This window comes from Homo sapiens, chromosome 2, assembly GCF_000001405.40.
Source record: "Homo sapiens chromosome 2, GRCh38.p14 Primary Assembly".
Taxonomy (NCBI): domain Eukaryota; kingdom Metazoa; phylum Chordata; class Mammalia; order Primates; family Hominidae; genus Homo; species Homo sapiens.
This window is the reverse complement of record NC_000002.12, coordinates 121,428,664-121,448,346: the sequence shown is the minus strand read 5'-3', so window position 1 is coordinate 121,448,346 and position 19,683 is coordinate 121,428,664. Positions and strand designations below refer to the sequence as shown.

General features: G+C 39.9%; 1 protein-coding gene across 37 annotated transcripts in view, besides 2 other annotated features; it reads left to right on the top strand.

Moving 5' to 3' along the window:
- Positions 1 to 19,683, top strand: part of CLASP1 (cytoplasmic linker associated protein 1) — a 311,687-nt gene that overhangs the window by 201,116 nt on the left and 90,888 nt on the right. For 17 of the 37 annotated variants that reach the window (XM_047443792.1, XM_047443782.1, XM_006712383.2 and 14 more), the window contains exons 18-20: positions 22 to 71; positions 840 to 1,010; positions 18,170 to 18,274. In XM_047443792.1, the coding sequence (XP_047299748.1) occupies positions 22 to 71; positions 840 to 1,010; positions 18,170 to 18,274 (326 nt within the window). Of the gene's footprint in view, positions 1 to 21; positions 72 to 839; positions 1,011 to 2,850; positions 2,899 to 3,384; positions 3,409 to 18,169; positions 18,275 to 19,683 lie in introns of all 37 variants that reach the window. The other 20 variants (XM_047443797.1, XM_047443780.1, XM_047443779.1 and 17 more) reach the window with 3 other exon arrangements.
- Positions 51 to 274: a silencer, noted in NCBI's record as "fragment chr2:122205649-122205872 (GRCh37/hg19 assembly coordinates)". NCBI's record gives its function as "represses an EF-1alpha promoter that drives an FKBP-Casp9 reporter gene in an ReSE screen in K562 erythroleukemia cells {active_cell/tissue: K562}" and the evidence as "EXISTENCE:reporter gene assay evidence [ECO:0000049][PMID:32094911]".
- Positions 17,665 to 18,864: an enhancer, noted in NCBI's record as "CDK7 strongly-dependent group 2 enhancer chr2:122187059-122188258 (GRCh37/hg19 assembly coordinates)". NCBI's record gives its function as "activates an origin of replication core promoter dependent on BRD2, BRD4, P300/CBP, MED14 and CDK7 cofactors, with strong dependence on CDK7, by STARR-seq in HCT116 cells {active_cell/tissue: HCT116}" and the evidence as "EXISTENCE:reporter gene assay evidence [ECO:0000049][PMID:35650434]".

Here is a 19,683-nt window from a genome sequence, read left to right as displayed (position 1 = left end):
AATATACATCTTTACTTTTAGTCGTCCGCTGTCTGCCAAAAGAAGTCCTACTGGAAGTACCACATCTAGAGGTGAGACTGACAGCCGTGGAGAAGGCCTGTTCTCCGCTCTGGTGGGCTGTACGTGCAGCTGCAAGAGGCTGCCCAGGCACAGGAGGCCAACGGCCTGCCCTCAGTTCCTTCTTAGGCTTGAATGTTGCCTGCTCTGCCCTGCCCTGACTCTCCAGCAGAGCTCCGCTTTGTCAGGGCCACTCGCTGCTGAGGACAACATTGACGGGGTGACTTAGGAATGAAGCTCTGTGACCTTTTCTCTCCACCTCCCCTGCATGTTGACATTGCCACAAACTGTACCTCCTGTCTCTGATCCTTTGATGAGACAGTGAAGACATCTTGGTGGCGTTTTGAGCAGCAGCTGCAGCAGTGTGATGGTGGTTAGTGGTGGGAGAGTGGCATGTTCCAGAAAGAGGAGGGCTCTAGGTAAGAGGGCGTGGCACAGTTATGTCATTTCATGAGGAGACGCCCTAGATGTGAGCATTTTTTCCTTATTTCACTTCTTCGTAGTAAGCAGAAACATGGTCCATTTCTTTGGGGTTTATAGTCTTCAATAACAAGAAAACAAATGTAATTGATACATTACAATTGAGATCACTTGTAGTTTCCTTCGGCATTGCCTGAACTCTCTTCAGGGACCAGGAGAAACTGTTTGTCAGTTTTTTATGCTCCAGCATTTGTTAAAACTTGGTATTTGTTTTCAGGAAAGCAAAACAACATCAGATTTTAGCAATGTATTTTCAAAATTCTATGTAGTCCTTATTCATATTTCCTCCTTTATCACTAAAGCTTCTACAGTTAGTACCAAATCTGTGTCAACGACTGGGTCCCTCCAGCGATCTCGAAGTGATATTGATGTGAACGCAGCAGCCAGTGCCAAATCCAAAGTCTCCTCATCTTCGGGCACGACGCCTTTCAGCTCTGCAGCAGCTTTGCCTCCAGGGTCATACGCATCCTTAGGTAACCACACCCCTGTCACCCTTTCCCTCCTGCACTGCTCTGCAAGAGATGACTCTTAACCTCTTAGCAAAATACAAACCCATGATTGAGGCAAGTCTCACTGTTGTGGGGCTACTATTTAAATCTAAGTAGCTTCGTGCACTTGCTGCTGATCAGCCAGCCACCCTTGTTGAGTGTCCCTTTCTTCGATGCATCATCCGTTTTAGTGCTGAGTAAGTACACAGTACACTCATGCTCGGAGGGTGTGTGGCACTGAGCACGTCCTTTCCTCAACTCTTCCTCTTCCTCCATGGCAAGCCCAGCCACCTCCCATATTGTCAAAGCTAAGTTTTTTCCCCCTCTGACACTGGTGGGAGCAGAGCCAGCAGGTTCAGTGAGGGATTCACCAAAGGTAGTCAGTGTCATTAGGTGTTTCTCAATTTGAGAATATAACCAGAGCTGGCAGGGATAATCGGGTTGGGTTGTGGGGAATGGCAGGAGGAATCTGAAGGAATGTGATGAGCTCATGAATCAGCATAACCATGTCTGTGCAAAAGAGTGTTGTCCTTCCATGTATCACCTTGGGAGGAGCATGCCCTTACTCTGATGATTGCCCAAAAAAGTTTTTTAAAAACTACTTCCAAAACTTTTAGCATCTGACATAGTGATAGATCGACTATTCATATTTTTCAGCAGTTGCTTAACACGTACTGTGTGTCAGGCTAATTGTTTATTTCGTTTTGTTTTTGTAAGAGCCAATTCATTCAAAGCCAAAATCTAGGGACTTAGCTGGATTGGTTCTACTTTAGATTTTAAGGAAATGAATAAAATTTAAACTTCCTGAAATATTGAGGTGGAGTTACTCATGTAACTTTCAGACAAATTCCAGAGTCAGTTCTAAAACTAATGTTCTGAAAATGTTTTGAACATTGGAAGCACAGTGAACAAATAGCACCCAGAGAAGATTTTAGGGTCTGCCATTTATTCGCTCTGTGACCTGGAGTAGGCCGTGGAATCTGTAGGTCTATTTTCCATACCTGCAAATTACTTGTAATAATAGCCACCTAACTCATATATGAGGCAAAATGAAATTATATAAAGGTTCTTTATAAACTATTGTTCTGTAAGGTGGAAGAAAGTGTGATTGTGATAGGAACATTATTAATTTGAAAGATATGTGTTCTGGAACATTTGCTCAGTCAGTCTTGTTTTTATGGAAATACCTCATACACCCATAACAATTGAGAAGAAATTCATTAAGAACTCTCTTTTTAAAATCGTTTTTAACTATTGCAGCATTATGTAGGAGTGTTGTCCATATGTAACCATTGAGCAAAGGAGAAGTAACAACTCTTCCTCCTATGCTGAATTAGTTCTGTTAATTTTAGTTTAGTTTTTCAGTACTTACCTATGCTTTAGTATATTAGATCCACCTTTAGTATTTGTAATTAGTATTTGTTTCATTGTTGGAAAAAGTGAGTAAAAATCAGCCTCAGTATTTTTGTTTTTCTGTCTGTATTATGGAGTGTTTGAATATGGCTGGTATAGACTTCCCCCAGTGCTAGTAAAAGCCCTCACGTCTTTTGGTATGATAATATGGAGCTGACCCTTCAGAAGCACTGATGATAAGTTTTCAGTCCAGTATTAACCTCTTCAAAGAACGAGACTGGAGTATTCAAATTCTCTGTTTCCTGAGAATTCTACCTCAACTTCCCTTATTTTGTCCCCAAACAAAAACACCAAAAAATTGAAATATAGCACAATCCTAGTGAGAATTTGTTACAGTTGCTACCTAGGTTGACACATGACATCTTTGCAAAAGTGTAGCATTAAAGCTGATGATCCTTTTCCAAACTTCTAGAGTCCAGACACATGAGGGAAGACATGGAGTACATAGGCCTGGACTCAGGTACCATGCTCGACAGCTTTTGCTGCTGGACGTGTAGTTGGGATAGGCATTGCTAGAGCAAGCTTCTCTGAGCTTCTTACTTGGCTCTGCCTTTTGGGTAACTCTTTAGTATTTTAGCTTCTAGTTCCTCCTCTCTGCCCTGTTCTGCTGGTACTTTCTTCCAAGAAAAAGGAACTCTTAAGAGGATGAGAGTTGGCTAAAACAAAAAATAATCTTTCTTTCAACTGTGGCACTACCCTGGGTTGCCCGTCTGTGTTTTATTTTCCAAAGGCAAAAAAACCATTATGCTATGTTAAGCTAATTTCAATACAAGGCACACTTACTTGCTTCAGACTCTGCTTTGCTGTTGAACTTGTTTCCCTTTTAATTTTGTTTTAAATTGTACTTTTGCTTTTTTAGTAGCTAATAACATTCGGCTTTTTAATTTTTTGAATGTTACTAACTGTTCCCTGTTATCCCTTCCCTTGTTTTTTAATTTGCTTAAAGATGGTACTACCACTAAAGCGGAGGGTAAGCGGTTTGTTTCTGTGATTGAGGTGTGTCTCACTTTCTCTGGTCCTCTGTTCTCACCGAGTGTTGCCCAGTACCCACTTGTCCTCACCAAGGTCCCTGCATGAGATGTTGCACGCTGTTTCTCCTCCTCTCTTTTCATTCTGTCGCCATTGGGTTTTTGCCCTACCTCTACCTGAGTTCTCCTTCCCTTTCTTGTTCAGTCTTTGTTCTTGTGAATTTTAGCACTAAAGTATGCTGCGTGTGGTTTTTATTGCTGAGTCCACACTCTGGGGAGGAGCATTGATGTCACACTGTGTGCTACTGTCCTCATGGACTGCCTGTCTTGGGTTTTATTACTCCTGAAGCACTACCTTAGCTTTTGTTTCCTTTTCTTTCCTTTTGTGCTTTTGTGGGCCTCTCAGGATTTGCCTTTCTGTTTTGAAAGTAAATTTCAATGTCAATTATTCAGACTAAAGGCTGGTAAACATTTCCTAACAGGTAATTTAAAGAAATAAAAAAATATATTTTTCTCTCCTCTAAAGGTACTACTGACTTATATGATGCTATTTTTTATTTGTCTCACGGACACACACCCCATTCATTCATTTACTCTCATTCATCCCCTCATCAACCGTGTATTAAATGCCTTCCATGTGCCATGTTCTGTACTACACACCGAGGATATAGTAATGCTGTAAGAAATAGGCATATCCAGATCCACTTTATTTTGTTTTTTATGCCATTCTCAAGAAGCTCTTTCTATTTTTGTATTACCTTTTGAATTTTAGACATAGTTGTTTTAGTCTTTGCAGGTTTTTGATAAGTGCATATAAGGCAATATCATTCCTTTGCTAGATAGAATGCATGAAAATGCTTTAAGTAATTGAAATTTAGAGGAACCTTCTCTGCCTAAATAGAGGCTTAAACCCACCAACCTTCAGGATATTTACTTAACAATTAGGAACAGCTAGTTCATTTTCATATATTATTTAGTCACCCTAAAGGGCTAGCATGCAAAGTTAGCTGGGTTTAGCTTGATGTGTGCAGCTCAGTTCTTTTAATCCGTATGTTACTTTCCAAGGGACTCATAAAAGAAAGATAGGAATGGATTTTTTTTTTGAAGGTGAACATGATCCCAAGAGCAGTGTTTCTTAAATTTATCACATCGTGAGAATTACTTGGATACTTACTAAAAAAATACTCTTAGGTCCTTCACCCTGAAGATGCTGATTAAGTTTGGAAGGAACTAGAGAATCTGAATTTCTAATAAGCCTCACTGGTGGTTCTTAGGGTCGGACAAGTTTGTAAAAAAAAATTCCAGAATTAAAATAAGGACAAGAAACCTCTGTCCTGATGAGGACGTCATGTCTGACAGCAGACGGCAGAGGCTGGTGTGATTGGGAAGCTGGTTGATAATTTTCTTCATTTCTTAAGCTGATATGGGTAATTTTATGTTTCTCCTGCCCAAAGAAACAATCCCGAGTGTTTTCTCAGCCTTACTGGGAGGGGAGGAGGAGAGTGGAAGAGAATAATGTAGATGAAATGGAAAGCAAAGACATTACATGGGAAATTATATGTTTTTCCAGAATGCCCTGATTTCTATGCCTATATAACAGAATTGAAATCAGCCTTTTATTCCATCCAGCCCTAGGACTTTTTAACTTTTTTTTTTTTTTTCCACCAGTTCCACAGTCCTGAGTAAGGTCAGAATTGCCCTCTCAGTTATTGTCCAGGAGACTAACTCTCTGGTTTTTCCTTCTTCTGGGAGAAATTGTTTTTTATAGAGAGCTCAGACTCCGACAATAGAGACCGTTGCTGAAGAAGCATAGGGAGTGTCAGTGTTTGTGTACTGGGGCTGCACAGGCTGTGGCAACACTGGCTAGTCAAAGCCTGGAAAGACCTGTGAGTTTGAACTCTTCTGGGTTGCCATTGTTCTGTTGGTTTCAGCAGTGAGACTGAGAGAGCCTGTTCTGTTTAGAAAAGCCACAGTGGTTTTCTAGGTAAAGTCTGCAGGAGATGTCACTTGGTGCCTTTTCAATACGAGTTTTCCACCTGCATTTTTGGAACCATTATGGGCCTTTTAAAAATTTATTAATAAGTCTCTTAAATATTTTATAATCTAGCTTCTGAGACAAGATGATTTTAAAACAGTTATATGCTCTAAATTAAAAATTTAGAGGGTGAGTGCAGTGGCTCACCCCTGTAATCCCAGCAGTTTGGGAGGCCAAGCAGGTGAATCACCTGAGGTCAGGAGTTCGAGACCAGCCTGACCAACGTGGTGAAACCCCGTCTCTATTAAGAATACAAAAATTAGCCAGATGTGGTGGTGTGTGCCTCTAGTCCCAGCTACTCAAAAGGCTGAAACAGGAGAATTGCTTGAACCCAGGAGGCGGAGGTTGTAGTGAGCGGAGATTATGCCTTCATTGCACTCCAGCCTGGGCAACAGAGCGAGACTCCGTCTCAAAAAAAAAAAAAGAAAGAAATTTAGGCAGTACGTTTGAGTTTACTGGCAATTTTATTACTATAGTAATTGAGAAAAATATATATTCCTTAGGAGTTATTCATTGTCCACATCAAGGAATCCTAACATTTATGACTAATTAGAAAAATACTTTTTGTAAAGAACGAAAAACTAAACTTTTGGATGAAAGTTTATTTCTAGGTTATTATCTTCAGTATGTTATGTTCAGTAATTTTTGGAGATTTTGATGAGGGAAACATAATGTCTTTTATGTTGCACATGAGGAAGTTTATGATTAGATGTCATATGGTAAATGAATGCATTCTCATACTTTTTTAAAAAAGCTAGTATGCTTAGGAAAAGCATTCATATTTTTCCCAAAATAAGTAACTTTAAATGAAAAGTTACAGTGCTTTGAATGGCCTGTGGGGCTGACAACCATTGTTTGTTTGGGGAATAATCATGTTTATTAAGATGTAGTCAAAAGCCATATCAACTTAACTTTCAGTGATTTTAATTAAGATTACACGATAAAAATTATATAGCCTTGTCTTCTCTTCAGGAAAAAGAACTTAGATTTTAGTACAATTTTACTGGGAAATAAAATGTAAAAAATTATCCAAGAACTGTGAATTTTAGGTAATTGTCCTTTTTACACAGTGGAAAAAGTATGCATGTCTATATATAGAAGTAAAAGGGTGTTAAGCTTCTTTTAAATTTTTAAAATATGAAGGAAATTTTTTTTTTTTTAAAGGCAGGGTCTCATTTGTTACCCAGGCTCTGGAGTGCAGTGGTGCTATTACAGCTCACTGCACCCTTGACCTGCCAGGCTCAAGTGATCCTCCTGCCTCAGCTCCCCACCCTGTCTGTCAGAGTAGCTGGGACTACAGGCGTGCACCACCACGCCTGCCTGGCTAATTTTTCAATTTTTTTGTAGAGATGGGGTCTCCCTATGTTGCCTAGTCTGGTCTTAAACTCCTGGGCTCAAGTCATCCTCCTGCCTCAGCCTCCCAAAGTGCTGGGATTACAGGCGTAAGCCACCATGCCTGGCAGGAAATTATTCTTTTGGGGAGAATAGTTGTAGGTAGCAAAATGTAGAAATGATCAAGTTCCTCTGTTTTGGTTCTGTAAAAGATGTCAGTGTATGAGTAAAGGCTGGGTTTAATTATGCCCCCAAGCAGTGAAACGTACAGCAGATATGTATGCCAAAACGTCCCAGTGTGATGAGAACAGAGACTTACTTTGAAGACCTTTTAATTTTATAATCTGTAATTTGGGAATTTGCTAGAAAATTTGAAACACGTAGGGAACAGAAAAACCCTAGTGACATAAGGCTCTCTAGTGGTTTTTCATTTGCCTAACAAGAAGATAGGAAAACCAGGCCTACAAACTACACTTGGTACGCAGGGTGAATTTCTCCTGGTTTGGAGTCTTTTCTAGAAGGTATGGCAATGTGAGTGAAAAAGAATCCTTAGGAGCAGTATTAAAAAGTCATGAGATGAATGATCTTTCTTTATTCCATGAAAGTCAAAGGCTTTGGGCTCCTCTTACAAGTCTTTGTTTTCCTCTGGGTCTGGTTTTGCTCTGGTTAGGTTTGTTTGTTGATGCTTATCTTATTCATCCTTCCCTCCAAAATTATTTTTGTTGTACAGTTCTTTACCTCTTTTTTTTTTTTTCTGTTACTTGTGCTGACTTTTTTTTCTCCCTTCACATCTATCTACTTGTCTCTGTCACTTAATAGATTATAATACAGAACTGAAGTATATTTGTACTGCTTGTTGCTTTATTTTTATTTATTGTATTTTGAGGTGGGGTCTTACTCTGTCACTTAGGTTAGAGTACAATGGCATGATCATGGCTCACTGCCGCCTTGACTTGCCAGGCTCAAGTATCCTCCCACCTCAGCCTTCCAAGTAACTGGGACTACAGGTGTGCAACACCATGCCCTGCTAATTTTTTGTGGAGATGGGGTTTCGCCATGTTGCCCAGGATGGTCTCGAACTCCTGGACTCAAGTGACCCTCGTGCCTTGGCCTCCCAAAGTGCTGGGATTACAGGCGTGAGCCACTGTGCCCAGCCTGCTTGTTGCATTTATTGAAACTTTTTTCCCCTAATTACCACAGAGCATTTTATATCATCTTTTAAAAACATGCACAGGTACTCATAGTAATATTGCCAAATCAATAGACTGAAAACAAAACAAAATGAAACAAAAGACACCTTTTCCTATAAAATAAATATATATCTGAGTTTAACACAACAGAGGCCCTTTAAGCTGTATAGCTGTGTTCCCAAAAAAGTAAGGAAATGTTCAAAACCAAGAGGATCACAGACTGGAATGACAAGCTTGAACTGATTTTTAAGGCTGTCCCCGAGGGCTTAGTTTTTTTTTTTTTTTTTAGTTTTTTTTTTAATTATACTTTAAGTTTTAGGGTACATGTGCACATTGTGCAGGTTAGTTACATATGTATACGTGTGCCATGCTGGTGCGCTGCACCCACTAACTCGTCATCTAGCATTAGGTATATCTCCCAATGCTATCCCTCCCCCCTCCCCCCACCCCACGACAGTCCCAGAGTGTGATATTCCCCTCCCTGTGTCCATGTGATCTCATTGTTCAGTTCCCACCTAGGAGTGAGAATATGCAGTGTTTGGCTTTTTGTTCTTGCGATAGTTTACTGAGAATGATGATTTCCAATTTCATCCATGTCCCTACAAAGGACATGAACTCATCATTTTTTATGGCTGCATAGTATTCCATGGTATATATGTGCCACATTTTCTTAATCCAGTCTATCATTGTTGGACATTTGGGTTGGTTCCAAGTCTTTGCTATTGTGAATAATGCCGCAATAAACTCAAAACCGCTCAACTATATGGAAACTGAACAACCTGCTCCTGAATGACTACTGGGTACATAACGAAATGAAGGCAGAAATAAAGATGTTCTTTGAAACCAACGAGAACAAAGACACAACATACCAGAATCTCTGGGACGCATTCAAAGCAGTGTGTAGAGGGAAATTTATAGCACTAAATGCCCACAAGAGAAAGGAAAGATCCAAAATTGACACCCTAACATCACAATTAAAAGAACTAGAAAAGCAAGAGCAAACACATTCAAAAGCTAGCAGAAGGCAAGAAATAACTAAAATCAGAGCAGAACTGAAGGAAATAGACACACAAAAAAACCCTTCAAAAAATTAATGAATCCAGGAGCTGGTTTTTTGAAAGGATCAACAAAATTGATAGACTGCTAACAAGACTAATAAAGAAAAAAAGAAGAATCAAATAGACGCAATAAAAAATGATAAAGGGGATATCACCACTGATCCCACAGAAATACAAACTACCATCAGAGAATACTACAAACACCTCTACGCAAATAAACTAGAAAATCTAGAAGAAATGGATAAATTCCTGGACACATACACTCTCCCAAGACTAAACCAGGAAGAAGTTGAATCTCTGAATAGACCAATAACAGGAGCTGAAATTGTGGCAATAATCAATAGCTTACCAACCAAAAAGAGTCCAGGACCAGATGGATTCACAGCCGAATTCTACCAGAGGTACAAGGAGGAACTGGTACCATTCCGTCTGAAACTATTCCAATCAATAGAAAAAGAGGGAATCCTCCCTAACTCATTTTATGAGGCCAGCATCATTCTGATACCAAAGCCAGGCAGAGACACAACCAAAAAAGAGAATTTTAGACCAATATCCTTGATGAACATTGATGCAAAAATCCTCAATAAAATACTGGCAAAACGAATCCAGCAGCACATCGAAAAGCTTATCCACCATGATCAAGTGGGCTTCATCCCTGGGATGCAAGGCTGGTTCAATATACGCAAATCAATAAATGTAATCCAGCATATAAACAGAGCCAAAGACAAAAACCACATGATTATCTCAATAGATGCAGAAAAGGGCTTAGTTATTGATGTGAATAGCTAGACACACAGATCACAAGACCTTGAGCTGACCCAAGGTGAAGATTGAGAGTTGGCATTAAGCCAGCATTGACAAGGGGGCTGTATATCCATGACAAGGTGGACAGGTGAGAAAAACAAAACAACACAAAAAATCCTCTTTATCTTCAAGTTGATATAATGTCTGTCTTGACTTTGCCTTAAACAGAGGGGGAAAAAAAACCCCTAATCTTTTCTCATAATTTGTAACTAAGCTGTCTACTCACACAAGTTGTGGTTTTAAATTTACTTCACCTGTGGTGTTTGGAAGACTCCAAGCTAATGAATTAAAGTAGTTTGTGTTTATAGCCCCCAAGGGTGCCTGCCAGGAACAAACATTAAACTTCTGTAGAGGAAGCTACTCTCAAATCTAATTCCTCGGGGTTCATGCAGATGGAAATCAGTGAAATAAGAGTTCATACTCTGTGTTATATCCATTATGAGTGAGAGGCAGCAGAGAAAAAGAATAAAAACAGAATGTACCCTTAAGGACTTAAGGATCTGTTACAAAATGTAAAATAACTAAAGTGTTTAAAAGAAATAAACTCGCATTTTTTAAGGATATATACAACTTAGTAGCCAGAATAATCCTCCCAGTTGAGAATACATTACTATTCTAGAGTAAAAGCAGTGAATCCACACAGCTTCAAACCTAAGCATGGCAGGAGCCCTGGTATGTCAGGGTCAATGCTGGCCGTCACCCTGAGGCTTTTGGCTAAACCCTGGGGTCCTTGGGCATTTGATGTGATGATTGTGCAGGACATAAAGGACAGAAAGCCCAAGCCTATTTAAGACCTGCATCATCATTAGTGAACAAAAAGTTAACTTTACTAAACTGAAAAGAACAGAGAAATTTGCCCATCTTAACTCTGGTGCTGGTTAGAGGGGGAAAGTAATCTCCCTCGAGAATGTGCAACCAAAATCTTGATGCAGGATTCTGGTCAGAGTTTACGTTACCTTTGTAGTCTGAAAAACCCAAATAGATAAATCATTTTAAGTTGGCTGTGGATTACTTGTGTCCACAGCACACAAACAAAATCAGAGATCTTCTTTGGAATAATTCAGCTTTAATCTAGATCTTAAAGAATTCCCATAAATTTCCAAGAAAAGTGATCGTTTCATTGTCTTAACAGTTAAAGAAATAAAGTGAAATTGTAGAAAGGGAGTAAGAGGCTATCAAGAATGACCAAGCAGATTTTGAAGAAGAGCAAATGGAACTTCTAGAAATGAAAATGTAGTACATTATTAAAATCAAAAAGTGGTCAGGCACAGTGGCTCACACCTGTAATCTTAGGAATTTTGGAGGCCGAGGCAGGAGGATTGCTTGAGCCCAGGAGTTAAGCCTGGGCAATATAGTGAGACCCCATCTCTACCAAAAATTTTTTTTTTACAGTTAGCCAAGCATGGTGGTGCACACCTGTAGCCCCAGATACTTGTGAGGCTGGGGCAGGGGGATCGCTTGAGCACAGAAGGTTGAGGCTGCAGTGAGCTGTGATCATAACCGCTGTACTCCAGTCAGGACAACAGAGCAAGACCCTGTCTGAAAAAAATAAAAATAAACTGCATGGGTAAATTGAGCAGTAGAATCAATGTAACTGAAGAGAGAACTCATGAATTAAGAAAGCTAGGAAGAACTTATCCAGACTGTAGTACAGAGTTAGAAAATATGACAGAGTTGTTAAGTTACATGCAAGATAGTAAAGAAATTTAACATGTCTAATGGGAGTTTAAGAAGAAGAGGGAGAATGGGGCAGAGACAATATTTGAAGAGATGATGGTTGGGAATTCTTCATAATTGATGAAAGACACTAAAGCCGGGCACAGTGGCTCATGCCTATAATCCCAGCACTTTGGGAGGCTGAGGTGGGTGGATCACTGAAGGCCAGGAGTTTGAGACCAGCCTGGCCAACATGGTGAAACCCCGTCTCTGCTTATAATACCAAAATTAGCTGGGCGTGGTGGCTCGCACCTGTAGTCCCAGCTGCTTGGGAGGCTGAGGTGTGAGAAATGCTTGAACCTGGGAGGTGGAAATTGCAGTGAACCGAGATCACACCACTGCACTCCAGCCTGGGCAACAGAGTGAGACTCTGTCTCAAAAAAAAAAAAAAGACACTAAAGCACAGATTGAAGAAACCCAATAAATTCCAAGTAAGACAAAAATAAAAAATCTGCAGTTAAACATATCATAGTAAGGCCAGGTACGGTGGCTCACGCCTTAATCCCAATGCTTTGGGAGGCTGAGGTGGGCTGATCGCTTGAGGACAGGAGTTTGAGAACAGCCTGGCCAACATGGCAAAACCCTGTCTCCACTAAAAATACAAAAACTAGCCAGGCGTGGTGGTACATGTCTGTAATCCCAGCTACTAGGGAAACTGAGGCACGAGAATCACTTAAACCTGGGAGGCAGAGATTGCAGTAAGCTGAGATCACACCACTGTACTCCAACCTGGGTGACAGAGTAAAGTTCTGTCTCAAGAAAAAAAAAAAAAAGTAAAATTGCACAACACGAAAGGCACAGAAGCCACTAGAAAAAGAAACTACCTACAAAGGAAAGCCAAAGATTAACTGCAAAGAAAACAGGGAAATCTGAATAGTCTGAATAGGAAGGGTGGAGCATATCAGTGTTCATGTCCTGTTTCTGATTTTATACTATAGCTTTGTAAGATGTTACCATTGAGAGAAACTGCATAAAGAACACACAGGAATCTTAAAACTTAAAACTGCATAGGAATCTATAATTATCTCAAAGAGGTTTAATTTTAAAAGGAGGGAGCCCTTAAAATTACTGTATCTCCTCTAAAGTGTGATTTAATGGCTGCGTTTTTCATAATATTATTTAAAGATAGTAAAGCATCTTTAAAAAATTAATCCAAAAGAAGGAAACAAAGGAGAGGATAAAAGGAAAATGAAAAATCAAGACAAAAGCATGCATATAAAAAGGTAAAAATAGGGCGGGCATGGTGGCTCACGCCTGTAATCCCAACACTTTGGGAGGCTGAGGCGGGCAGATCACCTGAGGTTGGGAGGTCAAGACCAGCCTGACCAACATGGAGAAACCCCGTCTCTACTAAAAATACAAAATTAGCCGGTCGTGGTGGCACATGCCTGTATTCCCAGCTACTCGGGAGGCTGAGGCAGGAGAATCACTTGAACCCGGGACACAGAGGTTGCAGTGAGCCCAGATTGCGCCATTGAACTCCAGCCTGGGCAACGAGAACGAAACTCTGCCTCAAAAAAAGAAAAAAAGAAAAAGAAGTAAAAATAAAGTCAAATAAACCAAGCTTTGTGGTTAAATGAGAAAGATTGTCATACTTGATTTATTTTAAAGCTCTAGCAATATAATATTTATTTTTTATTATTTTTAAATGGAGACAGGGTCTTGCTATGTTTCCCAGGCAGGTCTCAAACTCTTAGCCTCAAGCTGTCCTTCTGCCTAGGCCTCCCAAAGTGCTGAGGTTACAGGGGAGAGCCACCACGCCCAGCCCAATGTGATATTTAAAGAGAGAAATCTAAAACTTAAGACTACAGATAGAAGACAAAGGATCAGTAGAAGAAAGCTGTTGAAGAGTATTTAGTAACAAAGGCAAAAAAAAAATTTGTAATTGATGAAAGACACTAAAGTTGGGCATGGTGGCTCATGCCAGTAAAAGAGGATTGCAGGCGTGCACCACCACGCCCAGGTAATTTTTGCATTTTTAGTTGAGACAGTCTCTCCATGTTGCCCAGGCTGGTCTCTAACTCCTAGCCTCAAGTAATCCACCTGCCTCAGCCTCCCAAAGTGCTGGGCTTACAGGTGTGAGCCACTGCACCCAGCAAAATTTCAGTTTTTGAAAATACTAATCAAGTAGGCAAACTTTTGAAAAATGTCAATTGAAATACAGAAAAGGTACAAATTAACTGTTAAGAATAATAAATTAGGCATAAATGTGGATCAGTAGAGTTTTAAAGGTAATAGGAAGCCAGGTACAATGGCTCACACCTATAATCTGAGCACTTTGGGAGGCCAAGGTGAGAGGATTGCTTGAGGCCAGGAGTTTGAGACCAGCCTGGGCAACATAGTGAGACCCCCATCTCTACAGAAAATTTAAAAATTAATATGGCGTGGTGACATACACCTGTAGTCCCAGCTGCTCCCAGCTACTAGAAGGCTAAGGTGGGAGGATAGCTTGAACCTGGGAAGTGAGGCATCAGTGAGCTGTGATCGCACCATTCCACTCCAGCCTAGGCAGCAGAGCTAGACTCTGTATCAAAGAAAAAATAATACTTTTTTGAAATTAAGGTAAGATAAACCTATGACAGCTTTGTTAACAATTCAAAAACAAGTTGTACAAGTTTCAAGAAAACCCAAAACTGTTTCTTCAAAGAAACAAGCAATGTGAGTAGTTTTAAGACTGCTCATTAAACAATTTGAATCAGTAGTTAAAAGTTCATTGTTCTATTCCCACCCTGCCAAAATAAACTTAATAAAAATGGAAAAGATACTCCAAAAATTCCTGCCATGCTCAGATGGTTTCGCACACAAGTTGTATCAAAGACTGGATAATTGCATTGTCAGTTTATCAGTGGAGATGCAAAAAAAAATAATAATAAAAACATTAGGTAATTCCAGTCTTACGTAAACTCAGAGAATAGGAAAAGAGGGAATACTTCCCTCACTGGTTTTATGCAGCTAGTATGACCAGAGTACCTACAAACATTGTGTATGTGAGTGTGTATGTCATGACCACGTAGGTTTAGCCCAGGTTTAATTTTTCTTCTTTTCTTTTTGAGACAGAGTCTCACTTTGTCGCCTAGGCTGGAGTGCAGTGGCACGATCTCAGCTCACTGCAACCTTTGCCTCCCAGGTTCAAGCAATTCTCGTGCCTCAGCCTTCAAAGTAGCTGGCATTACAGGCCTGCACAACCATGCCCAACTAATTTTTTGTATTTTTATTAGAGATGGGGTTTTGCCGTGTTAGCCAAGCTGGTGTCAAACTCTTGTCCTCAAGAGATCCTCCCACCTCAGCCTCCCAAAGTGCTGGGGTTACAGGCGTGAGCCGCCGTGCCTCACCTATTACTTTAAAATTTATTAATGTAGTTTAAATTCGGGAGAAAAACCCTCTTATCTAAAAAGATCAAAACATCAAAAAATTCAAACATTTATGATAAAAATTGTTGGCAACTAGGCACAGAAATGAATTTTCTTTTTTTTTTTTTTTCTTTTTTAGACAGGGTTTTGCTCTTTTGCCCAGGCTGGAGTACAGTGGCACGATCTTGGCTCACTGCAACCTCCGCCCCGGTTTCGAGAGATTCTCCTGCCTCAGCCTTCCAAGTAGCTGGGATTACAGACATGCGCCACCATGCCCAGCTAATTTTTGCATTTTTAGTAGAAATGGGGTTTCTCCACGTTGGCCAGGCTAGTCTCGAGCTCCTGACCTCAGGTGATCCGCTCACCTTGGCCTCCTAAAGTGCTGGGATTACAGGCATGAGCCACCGCTCTGGGCCAAATTTTCTTAACCTGTTGGCAGATACACTTTCTGTGAAATTTCAGAAATTCTTTTTAAAAATCTTGTTTGAGTCAACAGTGCTTACCCTCACTGCTTCTATTTTGCATTATATTACATGACCAAGACACCACAATAAAGGCAAAGAAGTAAAAGTGAATTATTTGAGGGTAATAAGCTGATGAGTTATTTGTGGGTGTTATTCTATTTAGATAACCCCAAATCTGTATACAAGTTTAGCAGAATCCTAGAGTGTTAAGATCAAAATATAATGATTCCATTCTTACCTGCCAAGAACAGAAAATATAATTTAATAAATTATAAAAATAAAGCAACTTTAAATAAGTCTATAAAAATTGAGTAAGAACTTTGAAAAAATGATCAGACTTTATCAAAAGATATTGACAAAGTTAAATAAACATAGAAGATACAATGAATGAGAAGACCAATATTATAAAGCTTTTCCCCTTAACCCAGAGTTTCACATAATGCCAGTCAACATTTCAACAGGCGTTGTTATTGTGTCTGCACATACATATGGAAGACAGCAAAGGGCTTAGGAAAAGGCGAATTTACTTGTCCTGCCAATTAGCAGGATGTCTTTTAAAAAAGGCTAATCACAGGCCGGGGACAGTGGCTCCTGCCCGTAATCCCAGAACTTTAGGAGGCCAGGGCGGGTGGATCACTTGAGGTCAGGAGTTGGAGACCAGCCTGGCCAACATGGTCAGATCCTGACTCTACTAAAAATACAAAAATTAGCCAGGTGTGTGGTGGCATGTTCCTGTAATCCCAGCTACTGGGGAGGCTGAGGCAAGAGAATCGCTTGATCCCAGGAGGTGGAGGTTGCAGTAAGCCGAGGTCACACACCACTGCACTCCAGCATGGGCGACAGAAAGAGACTCTGCCTCATATATTAATTAATTAATAAATTAATAAAAAGCTAATCACAGTATTGTGATGTCGTGTAGGTATGGACACATTGACTAGTGGGACAGACTAGAAGGCTGAGAAACCCAGACACACATAAGTGCTGCTTGATAAACAATCAGGCATTTTAATCAGTAAGAAAAGCGTTAAGTAAATTTATTTCAACATTGGTTAGTTATATGGAAAAAATAAAGTATATCCGTTCTTTATCGATACATAAGTGACTTTTCACATAAAATATTAGCAAAATAGTAAGCTTTAGAAAAATATAGACCTTGTGTTATAATTTAAAAACGTTCTAAATATGTAAAACAAAACCACAGAGTTATTGGTTGTGAAAACATGTATTTACAAAAAAAAAAAAAAACCAAGGGAATGCTGAACACTGGGTTTAGGATCATGTTACCAAATGTTGGGGGAAAGTAGAATACGAGAGGTTTAGCAAAGAGAGTTTTTATTTTTTAAGCTAAATGAGTATACATGTTCATTTAAAAAATCTTTTTGTGACCTAAATATTTTATAATGAGTTTAAGAATTTAAATTCAGTTGTTTTTTTCATGTTCACTTTGCCTTTGTGATTTGCCTTGATTTAGCTCAGTGACTTCCTTAGGAAAATCAGAGGTCATCACTCATAGGCTTCCCAGTCAGCCAGGCACAGGTATCTAGACCAGTAGTGTCACATTGAACAAATTAATTAATTTCCCTGTTTCTCGGTTTTCTCATCTGTAAAATGGGAGTGATTACTTTATATGCTGTGAGGATTCTGAATGGACTCATATATAGTTGTTAGTAAATGGTATAGCTTTTCACTTCTGTATAGATTATAGAGTTTATTTATAAGTTTTTCCTTAAACTGAAAAGTCATTGATTCTTAACTAGTTTTATTATTTTTTTAATGCCAGCTTTCTTTCATTGCTCTTTACCTTCCTTTCTTGAAACTTTTTCAAGCTTTAGGATTTGCTTCCTGCATTACTTCTCTGTAAGCTTTGTCGCTTGTGGGGGTAGAAGTGATTTTGAACAACATAAAAGCCAGTGGGAGTTCAAGTTGGTTGTGTTTTTCCTATCCTCATTGAGTTACGGCCGGAGAGGCATTTTGTGCTCCCTCGAAACCAAAAAGGCCTATTTTTTTTTTTTTTTAAAGTTTAATCGCTAATCATACTAGTCTGGTCACTAATGATTTTGTGTTTCTGAATTCATTTTTATTTTTATGGCTTCGTGGTTCAATAATTGCTGTAATTTTTTCATAACTGCCTACAGCATTGGATTATCTTTGGGCCATCATTTCTCTAGGTACTCCTAATACTGATTCTTTTTAGCTGTATCTCTCTTTTTAGCTTTATCTTTTCTTTATCTTAGAAACTTACTGACTTACATGCTTTAAAAATAGAAGTTTAATGCTGCATATCAAAAACACATTTATTCACTGGGGAGCTATAGCTTCTGTGATGGCTGAGTTAAGAAGGTAGACTTTTTTATTTTGGGTTTTTTTTTGGTATTACTCTTATTTTCTATAGTTTGTTTTTTACAGTGACAGTAAATATTTTCTGTTTTTGGAAATTTGTCAGATTTGTAGACAATAAAAAAGAAAATTTAATCTGGAAAAAATTATGGGAAATGTCCTCAAATGGATATCACTTCCTTGTCTGAAGAGATAACATACTAAAATAGCTGGAACCTAAACAGCTGCAGGTCCATGGCTCCATCTCAGGAGTTCATCCTGTGTTCGTAGAACAGTTGTGCGTGGATCATATGCGCATGTGCGCATGCACACACAGGGAGACGTGGCAGACCTCGTGTGGAGGATCTGCTCACAGAAGCTGTTGCTCCCCATGTAGTTGGCTGGTCAGTGCCCCTCTTTTGGGGCATGGCTTCTTTTCTTGAGGAGGTGGCACTTACTGGAAATGTTGTGAAACACTGTTTTTGCTGTGTCCTCCAGGTCGGATCCGCACAAGACGGCAAAGCTCTGGGAGTGCCACCAACGTCGCCTCTACACCTGATAACCGGGGCCGCAGTCGCGCTAAAGTGGTTTCACAGTCCCAGCGTAAGAAACATATTTTATGCTCTTGCTTACCTCAGTTTTATTCAACAGCTCATTCTGCAGTTGAACATTTTACAATCTCTATATTGACTTCAGAGGGAAAAACACATTTTTTGTGGCTCTGAGATACTGTGAGTAATCTTACTGTTTGTTGGGTAAGCTTAAAAAATGAAACATTTCAGGCATACATTTGTCTCCTGTCCAGGTGATTTACATTTTGTATTGTTAAGCATTAAACATTAAAATGTAGTTTTTCGCCCTCCTTTGAAGCCTGTCAAATTGTAGCTTATCTGTTCTGTGACTCATTTTTGCATTGATAAGGAATCCTTCTGATGTAATTTTAGAACAGTACGTGGGCAGAAAACTATTAATGCTATGTTCTTTCCAGTGGTAAATAAGTAAATCCATTAAAAGCTCTCCCCCTTTAATTCTGTGCTCTAACATTTGCAGCCCGCACCTCTCTTCCTGCCATGTGGGCTCTTGCTTTGCCTAGCTGCTTCCATGATTGCGTCTCTGTATATGTGAAGTCAGTTGGTTTGTTAGCCTTAGCCATGAAAGCAGCCACAGCTGGAATGAATTTATTCTGGTCACACTTCAGATCCTCACTTGGTGTCTCACTTTCCAGCCACACATAAACTTTAAGGGGCCCACCTCCTCTTTTAAGGGGCCCGCCTCCTCTCTATGCATGTCGAGTAGAGCTGGGTAGCAGAGTGCTCCTGGGCAAGGTGAGCGTGGGAAGGAAGAGTCTTCCTGTCCCCAGGAGCTGCATGCGGTCCCACAGCACAGCACTCACTAGCTGACATTTGCCTGCCTCCTTTGTGGCCCAAGGAACTGTCTGTCTGTTGTAGAGAGTGATCAGTCTGCACCAAACCTTAAGAGCTCCCTTAGTATAGAAAATGGCCTTGTTCAACACCTTCTGAATTTAAATTCTTTTCCCTTTGATAACTGCAGTCCTCATGTTATATAATTTCTGCAAAGAAAGCAGAAGATCAGTTATAGTGCTGCCTTTGGTGAGGCTACAGAACCTTCCTGTGGCCTAGGTTGTATTGTGTAGTGTGATACACTACAAGCATGGGTTTCAGTGTCAGACAAAACTGGGTTTGCATCCTGGCTCCAGTGTGATGTTGGGTGAGTCTTTTAACCTTTGTGAGCCATTGTTTCGTTGTCTGTAAATTGAGTGATAACAGTTCCCACCCTCATGGGGTTTTAATGAGGATTTAATGAGCATTAGGAGCCTAACATGTAATAGTTAAATGGACGCAAGCTTTATAGTCATAGTTGTTTCAGATCAGCAGACTTCCATCCTAGCTGAAGTTGAGCCTCCTTGATCCCTGTCTACTTCAGTAGGTTTAGGAAAGAAGGCTAGGAATGGATTTACATGATGAGGGATGCAGTTCAGGATAGATTGAGTC